The following is an 18,704-nucleotide window of genomic DNA, read 5'->3' on the forward strand; positions in this document are numbered from 1 at the left end:
TGAAGTTTCAGGATACAAAGTCAACATATAAAAATCAGTAGCTTTTTTATACAGTAACAACTATTCAAAAATTAAATCAAGAAACTAATCCAATATACAACATCTACAAAAAAAAAAAAAAACCACTTAGGAATAAATTTACTCGAGAAAGTAAAACACCTCTCATTGAACACTATAAAATGTTGATGAAAGAAATTGAAAAAGAAATAGATATGTGTTTATGGGTTGGAAGATTATTAAAATGTCCATACTACCTAAAGTGAAATACAGGTTCAACACCATCGCTATCAGAACTCCAATGACATTTCTCACAGAAGTAGAAAAAAATACCCTAAAATTTGTATGGAACCACAAAAGACCCTGAATAGCCAAGGCAATCTTGAGCAAAAAGAACAAAGCTGGAGGCATCACACTCTCCAACTTCAAAATATTCTGTAGACATACAGTGATCAAAACAGCATGATACTGGCATAAAAATAGGTACATACACCAACAGAACAGAATAGAGAACCCAGAAATAAACCCACACATTTATAGTCAATTTTTTCAAACAAAGTTGCCAAGAACAGATAATAGGGAAAGGACAGTCTCTGAAATAAATAGTGTTGGGAAAACTAGATGTCCATGTGCAGAAGAAAACTAGACCTCATCTCATAGCATATAAAAAAACCTGCAAATGAATTAAAGACTTAAACATAAGGCCTAGAAACTATAGAAAACTATGAGAAAACAGAGGAAAAGCTCTATGAGATTGGCCTGGGCATTGAGTCTTTTGGATACAACCCCAAAATCATAGGCAATTAAAGCAAAAGTAGACAAATGGGATTATGCCAAACTAAAAACCTCCTGTAGATCAAAGGAAATAAAAGTGAAGAGACAACCTAAAGAATGGAAGAAAATATTCACAAAATATACATCTGATAAGGAGTAAATATCCAAAATATATAAGGAATAAAAAATACCCTCAATTATAAGAGAATAACCCTATTAAAAATGTACAAAGGACCTAAATAGACGTTTGTCAAAGACAGACATACAAATGACCAATGGTTATGTGAGAAATCACTCAGCATCACTAATCATCAGAAAATGCATTTTAAAACCACAAAGATTACCTCACACCTGTTAGAACTGCTATTATCAAGAAAACAAAAGTACTGGTGAGGCTGTGAAGAAAAGCGAACTCGTGTATACTGTTGGTGGGAATGTAAATTAGCACAGCCATTATGGAAAACAGTATGGAGGTTTCTCCAAATATTAAAACAAGAACTACTCTATGAAGTAGCAATCCCACTGCTGGGTATATATCTAAAGGGAATAAAATCAGTATGTCAAAGAAATATCTGCACTCCCATGTTTATTGCAACATGATTCACAATAGCCAAGATATAGACCCAACCTAAGTGCCCATCGATGGATGAAAGGATAAAGAAAATATGGTATATATACAAGATAGAATACTATTCCACCTTTAAAAAGAAAAAAATCCTTTAATTTGCAACAATATGAATGAAACTAGAAGACAAACTAAAATTATCCAGGCACAGAAAGACAAATATCACATGATCTCACATGTGGATTCTAAAAACATTGAACTCATCTATGTAGAAGAATAAAGTGGTGGTCATCAGAGGCTGGGGACAGGGAGAGAGTTCGGGAGTGTTGGTCAAAGGATAGTTTCAAAAGAAAAGTAAGTTAAAGAGATCTATTGTACAGCATGGTGACTACAGTTAATAGCAATGCATTCTTTAAAAATCAATCAGAGTAGATTTTAAGTGTTCTCACCACAAAAACAATAAATAATGTGAGGTAATACATATGTCAATTAGCTCAGCTGAGCCATCCCACAACGTGTACATATTTCAGAACATGTTGTTCCTAATATATTTGTATTGGTAAATTTTAAAAAGAAAAAGGAATATAATAGTAATCTGTTGCCTTGAAAGTATTTTTTTAAGATGTAATTAAAGTTCATAGTTAGTTGACCTTAAGTAAAGGAAATATCCTAGATCATCTGGATAGACCTTAAGGGCAGGGCTCAGGCTTCAGAGAGAGACATGGGGGTTAGGGGCAGAATTCCAACCACGGACAGGACAGCAACTATGGATTTTGCACTTTCTTGGCCAGCCACAATGGCATAAGCCAGTTCTGATTAATACATGTTTTAAAAACTATATTTGCTACTGGTTCTGCTTTTCTAGTGGGACCCAATGGCTATAGTACTATTGTTATTAGGCCCATTCCACAGATGGGAAAACTGAGGATGTGGAGAAATTAGTTAATATGTCCAAGATCACATAGCTAAATTGTAGTCAGGATTCAAAGCGAAGCACCCTAATTCCAAAATCTTGGGTCTTATCCATCACTGCCTCTCCAGGCTACAAAGTGACATAAATCATTGTCTTGCTCCTAGCTTGTTTTTTTTTTTTTTTTTTTCATTAAAAAGTGCTTAATTACTTATACATTAGCAACAGCAAGCCAGGAAGCTATGATGAACTGAGCTTAGCAGCTGAGGTGAGATGAGTAGAATAGCTCTAGGAGGGGAGACAGAAACCAACCATTATCCCCTCTGCTTTCTACTTGGAGCTGACCCAAGCTTGGCACTGGGGGATGCCTCAATTTTAAATCAACTTCATAGTTTTGATTACAGGGTACTGGGCTTATAATTTATAAATAAAGACTGTGCTGAAACTTAGAATAACTGCAAGATTTGTCACATAAGTGTAACCAGGAAATTTATGGGATACTCAGCTTCTTCTCCAGGGAAGGAACTCTACCAAATACATACAAATGGAATGTGGAAACAAAAATAGACTATTACAGTCTATCGTTGTTGGACATTTGGGTTGGTTCCAAGTCTTTGCTATTGTGAATAGTGCCACAATAAACATACGTGTGCATGTGTCTTTACAGCAGTGTGATTTATAATCCTTTGGGTATATACCAGGTAATGGAATTGCTGGATCAAATGGTATTTCTAGTTCCAGATCCCTGAGGAATCGCCACACTGACTTCCACAATGGTTGAACTAGTTTACAGTCCCACCAACAGTGTAAAAGTGTTCCTATTTCTCCGCATCCGAAAATGTGGCACATATACACCGTGGAATACTATGCAGTCATAAAAAAGGATGAGTTCATGTCCTTTGTAGGGACATGGATGAAGCTGGAAACCATCATTCTCAGCAAACTATTGCAAGGACAAAAAACCAAACACCACATGTTCTCACTCATAGGTGGGAACTGAACAATGAGAACATATGGACACAGGAAGGGGAACATCACACACTGGGGCCTGTTGTGGGGTGGCAGGAGGGGGGAGGGATAGCATTTGGAGATATACCTAATGTTAAATGACGAGTTACTGGGTGCAGCACACCAACATGGCACATGTATACATATGTAACTAACCTGCACATTGTGCACATGTACCCTAAAGCTTAAAATATAATAAAAAAATGACAATTACAAAAAAAAAAAGATGCAATGACACAATTGTATGAGACAAGCCTGTTGTATATAAAACTTAGCACCCTCAATGCCCTAGAAGTTGGAAGCTTTGTTCGGAGAACATAGAACTGTTTTATCTTCTTCAAGGATTCTTTACAGTTTTAGGTGCTTGGAGCTGTAGGCTCAGAGATACCTGTTTCTTTGAAGTTACTCATGGAGTGAGTGACTATTGATTGTCAATATGAGAAGAACAAAATGCAAGCAAACAATTTCTTTTTTCCTCAACTTCTAGAAATAAAAACTCCACAAAACGTATAACATAAAATTTACTATCTTAATCATTTTAAAGTGTGTGGTTCAGCAGCATTAAGTATATTCACAGTATTGTTAAAATAGATCTCCAGAACTTTTTAATCTTGCAAATAAACTCTCTACCCATTACAAAACAAGTCTCCAGCAATCACCATTCTACTTCTTGTCTCTATGAATTCAACTAATTTATATACCTCTTATAAATAGAATAACACAGTATTTGCCTTTTTGTGACTGGCTTATTGCACTTAGCATATGTCCTCAAGATTTATCCATGTTGTAGCATGTATCAAAACTTAATTCCTTTTTAAGGCTGAATAATATTCAATTGTGTGTGTACACTACATTTTGTTTATCTGTTCATCTGTCGATAAACATGGGATTGTTTCCACCTCTTGGCTATTATGAATAATGCCACAATAAACATGGAGGATATGTATATTTCTTCTTTTAGTTCTTTTGGATATATACTAGAAGTGGGATTGCTGGGTCACATGGTAGTTCTATTTTTTATTTTTTGAGAGACTGCCATACTCTTTTCCATAGTGGCTGCACCATTTTACGTTCCTAACAGCTCAGAAGGGTTCCAATTTCTCTACATCCTCTTCTTTCCTTACCATTTAAAGCAAGCCTCTGTTTTAATATGAGAAGTTATGCATCTTTTCCTTTCCACTATGGCAAGAACACTTCTGCTTCTGTGACAAAGTGCCTCTTTCACTAATGGAAGTTTCACTGAACCACTTGCTGAGAAGGATGTGCTTTCTCTAATCCATAAAGGGAGATAATTGTCAAATGTGTAAAACGCAGAGAATCAGGCAGAGCTGCTGCTAGACTGGTAATCTTGGGTCTTGAATGTGCACCATTTAAAATTTCTTGGCTTCCTTCATGAAAGACAAAGTAAAAGAAAGCAAAATCAACCCCAAGTTCCACAGAAAGCAAAATAAGTTTCCATTAACCTGAGTGGTAAAAGAAAGCAATTGCATAGGGTTATATTTGGAAAAGCCTCTTTGCATTTCAGTAGTGTGCTGCCTACAAATATAACCAGCAAATGGAATTCAGGTTGAACAGATAAGATGCAGCATCTAACTGAAGGATTGCCATACATGAAAAACATGTATTTATTAGGAGATTACAGTTATGCTCCCTGTTTCTGGGAGATGGCACAAAGGTGCAAATGAGAAACGCAACGTTGGAGCCATATGTGCATTTACACCCAATCATTCTGTCAGAATTCCACTAACTTCCCCCAAATTGCCTTCTTTGAGAAAATCGTGTCACTATTTACATGGGTTCTTTTCTCTTGACATTTCCCTGTTGGTGCTCACTGTCACAGAATGTTATGTTTTCCTCCCTTGATTCAAGTCCAGGTCAGAGGCAGGTTAGAAATGAGTGACATATCCATGCAAAACTGACATTTCTAGCTGAGTTTTCTAGATGACAGCAACCTGAAAATCATCGTGATCCTCTACTCTTGACCAGAGACCCCTTCTCTCCATTCATTTTAAGTTTTCCAGGTTTTCCTGAGACATAAACAACCATGAGTAGATAGAAATCACTACAAAGAAACCAAAGCAAGCTAATCCTCACTGTGTCCACAGCCAGCCTAGGATCACCTTTGAAGAGCCTAACCTCATGCCATCTGGTCCAAGCGATGAGCACATTGTCATAGGACACAGGCTATGGGGGTAAAGGGACTGGCAACTGTGTGGCAGGACTGCCTCCCCAGCCGGCTCAGCCTGACCATCAGAGCTTTGTGAATGCACCTCAGCCTCAGGAGCGTTGTGAGCACTTGCCACTGTCGAAGTCTCTGGTAAGGTGGGGAAATAGCTGGAAATATGAGAGGGGAATATTTGAGTGTCCCAGTCAGTTTTCCCATATCTTTTCATGTGCTCATTTGCCACCCATAAATCTTTTTTCGTGAAGTATCTGTTCAAATCTTTTGTGCCTTTGTTACCGAAGGAAACAAAGAGGTAACCCACAGAATGGGAGAAAATATTTGCAAACTATTCACCTCACAAGGGATTAATAACCAGAATGTATAAGGAGAGCTCAAACAATGCTATAGGAAAAAGTCTAAATATCCAATTTAAAAATGGGCAAAAAATCTGAATAAACATTTACTCAAAAGAAGACATAAATGACAAACAGGTGTGTAAAAAGGTTCTCAACATCACTGAACATCAGAGAAATGCAAATCAAAACTACAATGAGATATCATCTCACTTCAGTTAAAATGGCTTTCATCCAAAAGACAGGCAATAAGAAATGCTGGTGAAGTTGTGGAGAAAAGAGAACCCTTCTACCCTGTTGGTGGGAACATAAAGTAGTATAATTACCATGGGGAACAGTTTGGATATTCTTAAAAAAACTAAAAACACATTGCTACCATATGATCCAGCAGTCCCACGGCTGGGTATATACCGAAAAGAAGAGAAATTAGTGTATCAAAACAATATCTGCACCCCTATGTTTGTCGCAGCACTGTTCACAATAGCCAAGATTTGGAAGCAACCTAAGTATCCATCAACAGATGAATAACGTGGGATTCATTTACTAAAACAATTTTAAAGATGGCAGATTAGAGGTAGTGTTAGCATGCCTTTCCCATTTGGAAAGATAAAATAGTGAGCAGAGATTCACACTCTGAACTTTTTTCCAAGAAGAAATGCAGAAACTTAGGAAAAATAAATGAAACCAGAATCTTTGAAAGAAGCAGCAAGCTGCAGCCTACACCATGAGCCAGGTGAAAAACTAAGTTCCTAGAGTGTGAGAGGGAGAGAGACTGCCTCCAGGTTATACACCCCCACCAGGGAACCTGGAAATCCAGTCCATGGGGGAAGCCTTAACCCTATCCAGTGCTGGAATTGATACAGGGAACAGTCAGGAATACAAAAGTAGGAGCAATGAGAATGGTCTTGTGCACGTTCCCAGTCTCCAGGATGGACCAAGGGAAGCCATTCCTGATTCTGCATCACAGGGGATCTCACAGAAGTCTGCCAACTAACGCAGGCAGCGGTTGCAGGTTGAAAGAAGCTCCCAACTGAAATTCACAATATAATCTCAAGTGGGGATGAACTCCCTTGGCCAGAACTGGCAAGTGAGTGGGAAGTAGTGTGCTGTAACCATGGGCACAGGAGCTGGGCACCCCAGCTCTGTAGGCAGCTGAGGAGGGGCATGGCCTGAAAGCCACAGTTGCTGTCTCTAACGGGAAGGCTTACGTTACGGCCTTGTCCATTTCAGTTCTGAGCATAGATGGCCTGGAAATTTAGCAAGCTGCTGCTAGCAAACACTGTTGGTGAGAGACCTGCCTTATCAAGTGTGTGGGAGCTGGGTGAGGCTTGCTGCCACCTGCTATACCCCACTCCCTGCGTGAACTCTTCTGTCCAGCAGAAGCAGCCACACTCCTTCCTGGAACATTACCCCAGTGGCCAGAGAACCTCCTGCCTTCTCAACCCCCACAGGGGCCTCTGCTTGCCCTGCATGTGGAGAGCCAGCAGACCTGCCTGACCCAGCCCCCACCTGGCTTTGCCCCTTTACCCACCCTGGTAGCTTAACACAAAGAACAGAAACTTTTGGGAGCCCTGTAGCCCCACCCATCACCTGAGAAACCAGGATACCTCCCCTGGGTAACATAAGGCAAGCACAAATCCTACCACTTCTACCACAGCTGGTGCTCTTTTGCAAACACCACCTCCTGGCTGGAGGCCAAGTGACAGATCCATTACAGCCTCTACAGGTAGCGCAACACTGCACCCATGAAGGGGAAAACTTGTACATGACCTCAGCTGTCACCATTGTCTGCACCACCCTGGCTAACTAGGAGGTCTGAGTCTGTCCATGTAACCAGTTTATTACCAATACAACCAGCATTTGAGAAAGCCAACACACTAAGGCTATTTACAACCAAGGAATCTCATCGAGTCTACATCACTCCCCTACTGCCCCTATCAGAGAAGGTGCTGGTACCCACTGCTGGGAGAGTTAAGGACTGGTCACGTCACTGGTTCCTTTTCAGATACACCCCAGCCTGGAGTGTGGCAGCCCTACTGGGTGGCTAGACCCAGAGGAACAGCAGCATTCACATTGTCTGGCCTTCAGGGACTCCTACTCCTGGAGGAAGAGAGGGAAACATATCGAGGGAATACCCTTTGAGACAAAGGAATCTGGATGGCAGGTTTTGAGTCCCAGATCTTTCCACTGGTGAAAAGTTTCTTTCAGTAGAGGTACAAGTGCAGTGCTGGGCTCAGCAGGCAAAGTCTGCAGCTCTCTGCTAATGGCAGCCCTGCTGCTCAAGAAGCATCTTGAGGAGACTTATTTTCCACCTCAACCACTACAGCAGAAACAAATGGGGCTTCTCTCATGGGAGCTCAGCACGGGCACACCTATAGACAACCCTTTTGGAACACTTCAGGGTGACTGAATCTCCACAGGTGGAGTGCCCTCCAGGTTCAGGCTTGAATAAGACGTACAGTCACAGTTTCTCTCTACTTGGAATATCAACATTTCTGCATATGAAAAGAGGTGCCTGTCTGATCTGAATAGCTGGAACACTGGGTCAGGAGTGTGTCTGAGAGGTAGAGGGACACCTCCTCTTACTGGGAGGTGAATTATTCAAGCCTGGACTATTCAGCCCAGTAAATTAAATACTGGAGAAAAAATTAAAAGTTCACACCATGGGGGAATGAGGTAAGCTTCAAGAGACCTCTGTCATTCTGATCCCATAGGAAACAGTGAGCCTGCTCACACAGTGAGCACATTGCTACTGCAACAATTACCTGAGAAAGCCATCATACAGAGACTCTCTATAACCAAGGAACTCATAAAATACAGAGTCTTCACCCTTCTCCCCTGAAAGCACCAAGAGCTGAATTCAGCTACAAAAAAACTATAAACATTAAAGCCATATATTTAAGGGGGGGAAAGGAATATTTTTTTAAAAATCAAAAACAAATTCAAGAATCATTAGGAGAAATAGTTTACCCAAATAAAGAACCAAAAAAATAATTCTGGAAATATGACAAAACAGGATTCTTTAACATCCCTAAGAGATCGCAGTAACTTTCTAGCAATGAATCCAAACCAAGATGCAATCCTTGAAATACCAGATAAATTCAAACGGTTTATTATAAAGCTACTCAAGGAGATACCAGAGAAAAGTGAAAACCAACATAAAGAAATTTAAAAACAATTCAGGATCTGAATGAAAAATTTTCTAAAGAGATAGATATTTTAAAGAAAAGCCAATCAGAACTTCTGGAAATGAAAGGCACATTTAAGGAATTAAAAAATGCAGTGGAAAGTTAACAATAGACTAGAATAAGTATTCAGAAAGAATTTCAGAGTTTGAAGACAAGGCTTTCAAATTTACCCAAGCAGACAAAAATAAATAATCAAAAGAAATAAAATATCTAAGAAATATGGGATTATATAAAGTGACCAAATCTAAGAATAACTGGTGTTCCTGAGAGAGAAGTCTAAAGGTTTGAAAAACTTATTTGAGGGAATAATTGAGAAAAATTTCCCTGGCCTTGCTAGAGATTTAGATATCCAAATACGAGAAGCTCATCTCTGTATTAGGGCTCTCTAGAGGGACAGAGCTAATAGGATATATGTACATATGAAAGGGAGTTTATTAAGGAGAATTGACTCACATGGTCACAAAGTCAAGTCCCATGATAGGCCATCTGCAAGTTGAGGAGCAAGGAAGCCAGTAGTGGATCAGTCCAAGTCCCAAAACCTCAGAAGTAGGGAAGCCAACAGTGCAGCCTCAGTGCAGCCTACACCAGTCCAAAAGCTGAGGAACTTGGAGTCTGATATTTGAGGGCAGGAAGCATCCAGCACAAGAGAAAGATGAAGGCCAGAAGACTCAGCAAGTCTGCTCTTCCATCTTCTCCTGCCTGCTTTATTCTAGCCATGCTGGCAGCTGATTAGATGGTGCCCACCCAGATTGAGGGTGGATTTTCCTCTCCCAGTTCACTGTCTCAAATGTTAATCCTCTATGGCAACACCCAGGAACAATACTTTGCATCCTTCAATCCAATCAAGTTGACACTCAATATTAACCATCACACTGGCCTTGCTAGAGATTTAGATATCCAAATACAAGACACTCAAAGAATTCCTGGGAGATTCATTACAAAAAGGACTTCACTAAGGCATATAGTCATCAAGCCATTTAAGTCAACATGAAGGAAAGAATTCTGAGAGCAGTAAGATAAAAGCACCAGGTAACCTAAAATGGAAAACTTATCAGACTTACAGCAGACTTCTCACTAGAAACCTTAAAAGCCAGAAGAGATTGGGGTCCCATCATTAGCCCCCTAAAACAGAATAACTGTCAGCCAAGAATTTTTTAAATCAAGCAAATATAAGTTTCATAAATGAAAGAGAAATAAAGACATTTTCAGACAAACAAATGCTGAGGGAATTGTCACTACCAGGCCAGCCCTAAAAGAAATGCTAAAAGGAGTTCTAAACCCTGAAACAGAAGGTCAATACGCACCAGAATAAAATCTCATGAAAGCATAAAACTCAGAGGGCCTATAAAACAACACAATGAAGAAAACAAAGTATCTAGCTAACAACTAACATGATGACTAGAACAGTATCTCACAGCAATATTAACACTGAATGTAAATGGCCCAAATTCTCCACTTACAAGACACACATTAGCAGAATTTAAAAAAAATCACAAACCAAATATCTGTGGGCTTCCAGAGACTTACCTAACATGTAAGAATTCATATAAACTCAAGGTAAAGGGGTAGAAAAACATTTCATGCAAATGGAAACCAAAACCAAATGAGAGTAGTTATTTTTTATCAGATAAAACAGACTTCAACAGTTTAAAAAAAAGAAAAAGACAGTAATTATAATAAAATCAATCCAACAAGAAGATATTACAATCCTAAATTTATATGCACCTAACACTGGATCTCCTAGATTCATAAAACATTTGCTACTAGAAATGAGATACATAGCAACACAATAGTGGAGGACTTTAACACTCCACTGACATCACTAGATGATCAGAGACAGAAAGTCAAAGAAACAATGGAATTAAACTACACTCTAGAACAAATGGACCTAACAGTTATTACAGAACATTCTACCCAACAACTTCAGAATATACAGTCTTCTCAACAGCACATCTATCTCCAAGACAGACCATAGGACAGGCCACAAAACAAGTCTCAATAAATTTAAAAAATAATTGTATCAAGTATCTTCTCAGACCACAGTGGAATAAATGAAATCAACTAGAAAAGGCATCATCAAAATGATACAAATATATGGAAATTAAACAATCTGCTCCTGCATGATTTTTGGGTTAACAATGATAAAGGTGGAAATTTAAAAACTCCTTGAAATGAATGATACTAGTGACACAAGTTATCAAAACCCCTGAGATACAGCAAAAAGCAGTGCTAGAAGGAAAGTTTACACCACTAAATGCCTACATCAAAAAGTCTGAAAGATCACAAGTTGAAAATCTAATGTCACACACCTCAAGGAACTAGAGCAACAAGACCTAAATTCAAAGCTAGTGGAAGGAAAGAAATAAAGATCAGAGTAGAACTGAGTAAAATTAAAACAAAAAAATACAAAGGATCAACGAAACAAAAAGTTGGTTCTTTGGTTGAGGAGATAAAATTAATAGATCATTAGCTAGATTAACCAATAAAAGAAGGGAGAAGATTCAAATAAACTCAATGAGAAATAAAACTGGAGACATTACAACTGACACCACAGAAGTACAAAAGATGATTTGAGACTAGTATGAACACCTCTATGCACATAAACTCAAAAATCTAGAAAAAAAAAATGGATAAACTCCTGGAAACATACAACCCTCCTAAATTAAACCAGGAAGAAATAGAAACCCTGAACAGACAAATAGCAAGGAGTGAGACTGAATCAGTAATTTTTTTAAAGTGCCAACAAAAAAAAAAAGCCAAGAGCCATATGGATTAACAGCTGACTTCTACCGGACATTTGAAGAATTAGTGCCAATCCTATCGAAACTATAACAAAAGATTGCAAAAGAGGGCATTCTCCCTAACTCATTGTATGAAGCCAGTATCATCCTGATACCGAAAACAGGAAAGGACACATCAAAAAAGAAAATTACAAATATCCCTGATGAGCATAGATGCAAAAATCCTCAACAAAATAACTGAATCCAACAGCATATCAAGAAGACAATACACCATGATCAAGTGGGTTTCATCCCAGGAATGCAGAGACGGTTTAACATGTGAGTCAAAAATAATTGTGATACATCACAAACAGGATTAAAAACAAAAACTGTAAAACCATTTCAATATATGCAGAAAAAGGATTGATAAAATCCAGCAAACATTTTTGATAAAAACACTCAACAAACTAGACATAGAAGGGACTTACCTCAAAATAAGAAAAGTCATATGACAAACCCACAGCTAACATCATACTGAATGGGAAAGAGTTGAAACCATTCCCCAAGAAGTGGAACAAGACAAGGATGCCTACTTTCACTACTTTCCTTCAATATAGTACTAAAAGTCCTAGCCAGAGCAATAGAGCAAGAGAAAGATATAAAGGGCATCCAAATTGGCAAAGAGGAAGTCAAACTATTGCTGTTCACCAGTGATATAACACTATACCTAGAAAACCCTAAAGACTCCTCTCAAAAGACTCCTAGATTTGACAAATGAATTCTATCGCGGGAACCCACCCCCAATATTTCAATGTAAGTTCTTTCTATTTTCCATAAGTGTCAGCCGGCTGAGAAATAAAGAGAGTATAAAGAGAGGAATTTTACAGCTGGGCCTCCAGGGGTGACATCACGTATCAGTAGGACTGTGATGCCCACCTGAGCTGCAAAACCAGTAGGTTTTTATTAAGGATTTCAAAAGGGGAGGGGGTGTAAAAACAGGGAGTAGGTCACAAAGATCACATGCTTCAAAGGGCAAAAAGGAGAACAAAGATCACGTGTTTCTGAGGAAACAGGACCAGGGCAAAATCAGAAACTCCTAATGGGGTCTATGTTCAGCAGTGCATGTATTGTCTTGATAAACATCTTAACAGAAAACAGGGTTCGAAAGCAGAGAACTGGTCTGACTTCAAATTTACCAGGGTAGAATTTCCCAATCCTAGTAAGCCTGAGGGTACTGCAGGAGACCAGGGTGTATTTCAGTCCTTATCTCAACCACATAAGACAGACACTCCCAGAGCAGCTATTTATAGACCTCCCCCTAGGAATGCATTCCTTCCCCAGGGTATTAATTATTAAATTCCTTGCTAGGAAAAGAATTTAGCGATATCTTCCCTACTTGTACGTCCATTTATAGGCTCTCTGCAAGAAGAAAAATATGGCTCTTTTTGCCTGACCCCGCAGGCAGTCAGACCTTATGGTTGTCTTCCCTTGTTCCCTAAAATCACTGTTATTCTGTTCTTTTTCAAGGTGCACTGATTTCATATTGTTCAAACACACATGTTTTACAATCAATTTGTACAGTTAACACGATTATCGTAGTGGCCCTGAGGTGACGTACATCCTCAGCTTATGAGGATAACAGGATTAAGAGATTAAAGTAAGACAGGCATAAGAAATTATGAAAGTGTTTGGGAACTGGTAAATGTCCATGAAATCTTCACAATTTATGTTCCTCTGCTGTGGCTCCAGCTGGTCCCTCCATTTGGGATCCCTGACTTCCCACAACAGAATTCAGGTTATGAAGTCAATCTACACAAATCAGTAGCACTGCTATACACCAACAACCAAGCTGAGAATCAAATTAGGAATACAATCCCGGCCAGGTGTGGTGGCTCACACCTGTAATCCTAGCACTTTGGGAGGCCGAGGTGGGCGGATCAGAAGGTCAGGAGTTCAAGACCAGCATGACCAACATGGCAAAACCCCGTCTCTACTAAAATATAAAAAATTAGCCGGGCGTGGTGGTGTATACCTGTAATCCCAGCTACTCAGGAGCCTGAGGCAGAAGAATCGCTTGAACCCAGGAGGAAGAGGTTGCAGCGAGCCGATATCGCGCCATTGCCCTCCCACCTGGGTGACAGAACAAGACTCTGTCTCAAAAATAAAAAAAAAAAAATGCAATCCCTTTAACAGCTGCAAAAAACTAAAAATACCTAGAGATATATTTAACCAAGGAGGTGAAAGATCTATACAAGAAGAATTACAAAACATTGCTGAAAGAAATCCTAGGTGACACAAACAAATGGAAATACATCCCATGCTCATGAATTGGGAAAAAAAATCAATATCTTTAAAGTGACCATACTGCCTAAATCAATCTACAGATTTAATGCAATTCCTATTAAAATACCAACATTTTTCACAGAATTAGAAAAAACAATTGTAACATTCATATGGAACCTAAAAACACAAACAGCCAAAGCCAATTATAAGCATAAAGAACAAATCTGGAGGCAACACATCACTGGACTTCAAATTATACTACAAGGCTATAGTTACCAAAACAGCATGGTACTGGTATAAAAGCAGACACATAGACCAATGCAACAGAATACAGAATCTAAAAATAAAGCCAAATATCTACAGCCTTCTGACCTTTGACAAAGCATAACAAAAATATAAATTGAGGAAAGGACACCCTATTTCATAAATACTGGGAAAACTGGTTAGCCATATTTAGAAAAATAAAATTGGATCCCCATCTTTCATATTATTAAAAAAATCAACTCAAGATGGATCCAAGATTTAAATCTAAGACCTGAAGCCATAGAAATTTTAGAAGATAACCTAGGAAAAATTCTTCTGCACCTTGGCCTAGGCAAAGAATTTGTAAGACCCGAAAAGCAAATGCAACAAAAACAAAAAATGGGACCCAATTAAAGTAAAAAGCTTCTGTACAGCAGAAGAAATAATCAGAGTAAACAGAAACCCACAGATTGGGAAAAAATATTTGCAAATTATCCATCTGACAAAGGACTAATATTCAGAATCTACAAGGAACTCAAACCAGCAAGAAAATAATCCCATCAAAAAGTGGGCAAATGACAAACAGACATTTCTCAAAAGTAGATATACAAATGACCAAACATATGAAAAACTGTTCAATGTCACTAATCATCAGGGAAATGCAAATTAAAACCACAATGAGATACCACCTTACTCCTACAAGAATGGCCATTACTGAAAGTCAAAAAAACAATAGATGTTGGCATGGAAGTGGTGAAAACAGAATACTTATACACTGCTGGTGAGAATGTAAATTAGTTCAACGTCTTATGGAAGACAATATGGAGATTTCTTAAAGAACTAAAAGATCTGCCATTCAATCGAGCAGTCCCACTACTGGCTATCTACCAAAGGAAAATAAGTCAGTATATCAAAAAAACACCTGCACACATGTTTATTGCAGCACAATTCAAAATTGCAAAGATATGAAACCAAGTGCCTGGCGACCAGCGAGTGGATAAAGAAAATGCAGTCGCTTTTGCTGTTCTGTCAGAGAGGCCCAGTAGCAGTATCTCACTTCAGCCTTAATTTTTTTTCTAGTTTGCCAGAGCCAGCCTCATCATTCCACCTTATAGGTACCAGCAGCAGCTAGGCAGTGCCCACACATCAGAGCTACTCACATTGGGAATAACGAAGGAAACAACTCGACCCACAGAGAATGGAGAAAAGCAAGGCTAGACAACAGCCTATCCAGGAGCAACAGAGCCAAGGGTACCTCCCCCACCCAGGAAAGTGATGATTGAACGGGCGACTCTGAGAACCCAGGCTTCTCCCATGGATCTTTGCAACCTTCTGGTCAGGAGATACCTTCGTGAATCCATTCCACAGGGCCTTCTGTCTGACACACAGTGATGTGGAGTCTTGGTAGAGCAGCTGCTCGGGCACACCTGGAGATGTAGGAGCCTTAGATACTCAGGTTCAGGGCTTCCCAGCAAAAGTAACCACAAGGGTCTAGCAAAGCAGGAGGTTAGACCCCTGTACATACCACTAGGAAAGAGGCTGAATACAGGGGGCCAAGCAGTGACAGTCTGCAGGGCCCCACTTTCATGGCATCTTACAGGATAATACCACTAGCTTGGAATTCCAGTCAGCTACTGGTGGCAGCCTTGTGCTTCCTTGGGTGGGAGTTTCTGGGGAGAGGGGCAGGCTACCATCTTTGCTGTTTGGGCAAATTGGCATTCCAGCCTTCTGGCTTTACAGAGTCCAAGCCAACCAGGGGCAGAAGGGATCCCCCAGCACAGCACAGCAGAGCAGCACAGCTATCCATTCCTCTTCACTGGGCAAGACCTCCTAACTGGGGTCTCCAGTGACTTCCTACAGGTGCATTCGGGCTAGCAACAGGTCTGTATCTCCCTGGGAGGGAGCTCTCAGAGGTCAAGGCAGGCTGCCATCTTTACTGTTTCACAGCCTTCACTGGTGATACCTCCAGGTACTGGAAAATCCAAGGCAACTATAGTGGGACTGGAGTGGGTGTTCAGCATATCACAGCAGCCCTATGGAAAAGTGTCCAGTCTCTTACATGGGTACCTGTTCCCATATCTCCTCACTGGGGAGGTCCTCCAGGCCTGAGCCTCCAGGCACCCTCTGCCAGAGCTACTAGGCCAGTAGCAACTTGGAAATTCCCTGGACAGAGCCTCCAGGGGCAACTGAAAGCCTCTCTGCCACTGCCTCTGCAGTGGAACCATCCTTGCAACCCTTGGACTAATAAGGAGCAAATACCCTAAGTGCCTTATCCACACCTTCAACAAGCTGCAGTTGGCCCAAGCAGAGGGGGCCAGTGCATCTCCTATGGGTCCCACACACCCCCTACTGCTTGTCATCAGATAGGGAACCCCTGGCTTGGGCCCACAGCACAGACCCTCCATCCCGGGTCCATTGTCCCGAGTGGTTGCTGACCCACATCTCTCTGGGGTAGAGCCCCCAGGAGGCAAGCAAAGTGGTAAAGCAGCAAGCCAGCTGATGTGGAGCCCAAAGGGTTTGGTGCAGGAGCATCTGTAGTGGAGCATGGCCAGGGACAGTAATCAATTTAGGCTCAACTTGCTCTCATAAGAAACTTTGACCCTAGGGGAATGGTTGAGCCTGATCTCTGCAGGGCGGTCTTGGTCATCAGTCTGGGCTGGTATGACCTGAGCACTCCTTGGTCTGCTGGCCTCTCCTGGGGCCCCAGCCTGACCATGCCTGCTCACAGGGTAGTCTTGGGTGTCCAGGGGGCCCACATTGAGGTTTCTGTGTCAGTGGACCATGCCTGACCAGTGGAGAGCTCCAGTGAGGTGGTTCCTGTGGCCATGCAGCAGCCCTCACATTCCCTCCCCATACTCTAGCTTCCCACAAGCCCACAGTAAGTCCCCACATCACTTTGCTGGTGTGTGTCTGCATAGGTGGATTTTGCTTCACTTGCCCTGCCAGCATGTAACGGTGCTGTATGCCGCTACCCCCAGCAACCACCATTGCAGATGAAGCCTTGGTGGGCACAGTCAGCAAGCCCCACCTCTGCCAGCACCCTGCCCTTGTGCTGATGTTGCACAGAAAATGGGATCCTCCCACACCCTGAGTGATCACTCCTGCTTGAGGGGCATAGATAAGGCAGCCAGACCTGTGCTGGCCAGTCCCATGCCCGAAGCCAACACCACCTCCAGTGCAACAGTAAACAGTCTCCAGCAGGGGCCCCCTGCTCCCTGCCTCTGCCACCACTATGGTGAATGCCTGCAGGGAGGCAAGCACCCTCGCATGCGCTAGCACTCTGCTAAAGCCGCCACACTTCGCACCCCCTGCCCAGTGCAGTGGACTCCAAACCTTGAGCCAGAGAACAAAGTTGGGGCCCAACACTAGTCCGCCAAAGTTAGAGCATGCTGTCCAGAGTTGGGAGCTGAGCATTGGCCTCCTAAAATCTCCCAGAAACAAAGCCAGTTGGCTGAATCCACCCTATACCACAATCAAACCCTCAAGGTCAAATAGGATAAAAGATAAACCCATCCAAATGTCAGCAACCTCAAAGATTGAAGGTAGATAGACCACAAAGATGAGAAAGAGTCAGCATAAGAACACAGAAAACTCAAAAAGCCAGAGTACCTTCTTTTCTTTAAATGACTGTATCACCTCTCCGGCAAGTGTTCAGAACGAGGCTGAGGCTGAGATGGCTGAAATGACAGAAGTAGAATTCAGAATATGGATAGGTACAAAGTTCATTGAGCAAGAGGAGTATGTTGTAACCCAATCCAAGGAAGCTAAAAATCACGATAAAACATTGCAGAAGCTGGCAGACAAAATAGCCAGTATAGAGAAGAACATAACTGACCTGATAGAGCTGAAAAGCACACAAGGATTTCATAATGCAATCACAAGTATTAATAGCAGAATAGACCAAGTGGAGGAAAGAATCTCAGAGCCTGGAGAATGGCTTTCTGAAATAAGACAGGCAGACAAGAATAAATAAAAAAAGAATGAAAAGGAACAAAACCTCTGGGAAATATGGGATTATGTAAAGAGACCAAGCCTACAACTGATTGGTGTACCTGAAAGAGATGGGGAGAATGATAACCACTTGGAAAACATTTCAGGATATCATCCATGAGAAGTTCCCCAACCTAGACAGAGAAGCCAACATTCAAATTCAGGAAATGCAGAGAACCCCAGTAAGATACTTCACAAGAAGATCACCCCCACGACACATAATCAGATTATCCAAGGTTGAAATGAAAGAAATTCTGTTAAAGGTAGTTAGAGAGAAAGGTCAGGTCACATACAAAGGGCAGCCCATCAGACTAATGCAGACCTCTCAGATGAAACTCTATAAGCCAGAAGAGATTGGGGGCCAACATTCAAAGAAATTCCAACCCAGAATTTCATATCCAGCCAAACTAAGCTTCACAAGCAAAGGAGAAATAAGATCCTTTTCAGACAACCAAATGCTGAGGGAATTTGTAAGGCACCAGACTTGCCTTATTAGAGCTCTTTTTTTC

The 18,704-nt window shown here is 40.9% G+C and overlaps 1 long non-coding RNA gene across 1 annotated transcript in view, besides 1 other annotated feature; it reads right to left on the bottom strand.

Annotated features, from left to right (window-relative positions):
- Positions 1-18,704, bottom strand: part of LOC285638 (uncharacterized) — an 89,236-nt gene that overhangs the window by 36,726 nt on the left and 33,806 nt on the right. The window lies entirely within an intron of this gene.
- Positions 16,881-17,382: an enhancer, noted in NCBI's record as "H3K4me1 hESC enhancer chr5:108626441-108626942 (GRCh37/hg19 assembly coordinates)". NCBI's record gives its function as "activates a minimal SCP1, AML or CMV promoter by ChIP-STARR-seq in naive H9 embryonic stem cells {active_cell/tissue: H9 hESC(naive)}" and the evidence as "EXISTENCE:reporter gene assay evidence [ECO:0000049][PMID:30033119]".

This window comes from Homo sapiens, chromosome 5, assembly GCF_000001405.40.
Source record: "Homo sapiens chromosome 5, GRCh38.p14 Primary Assembly".
NCBI classification, from domain to species: Eukaryota; Metazoa; Chordata; class Mammalia; order Primates; family Hominidae; genus Homo; species Homo sapiens.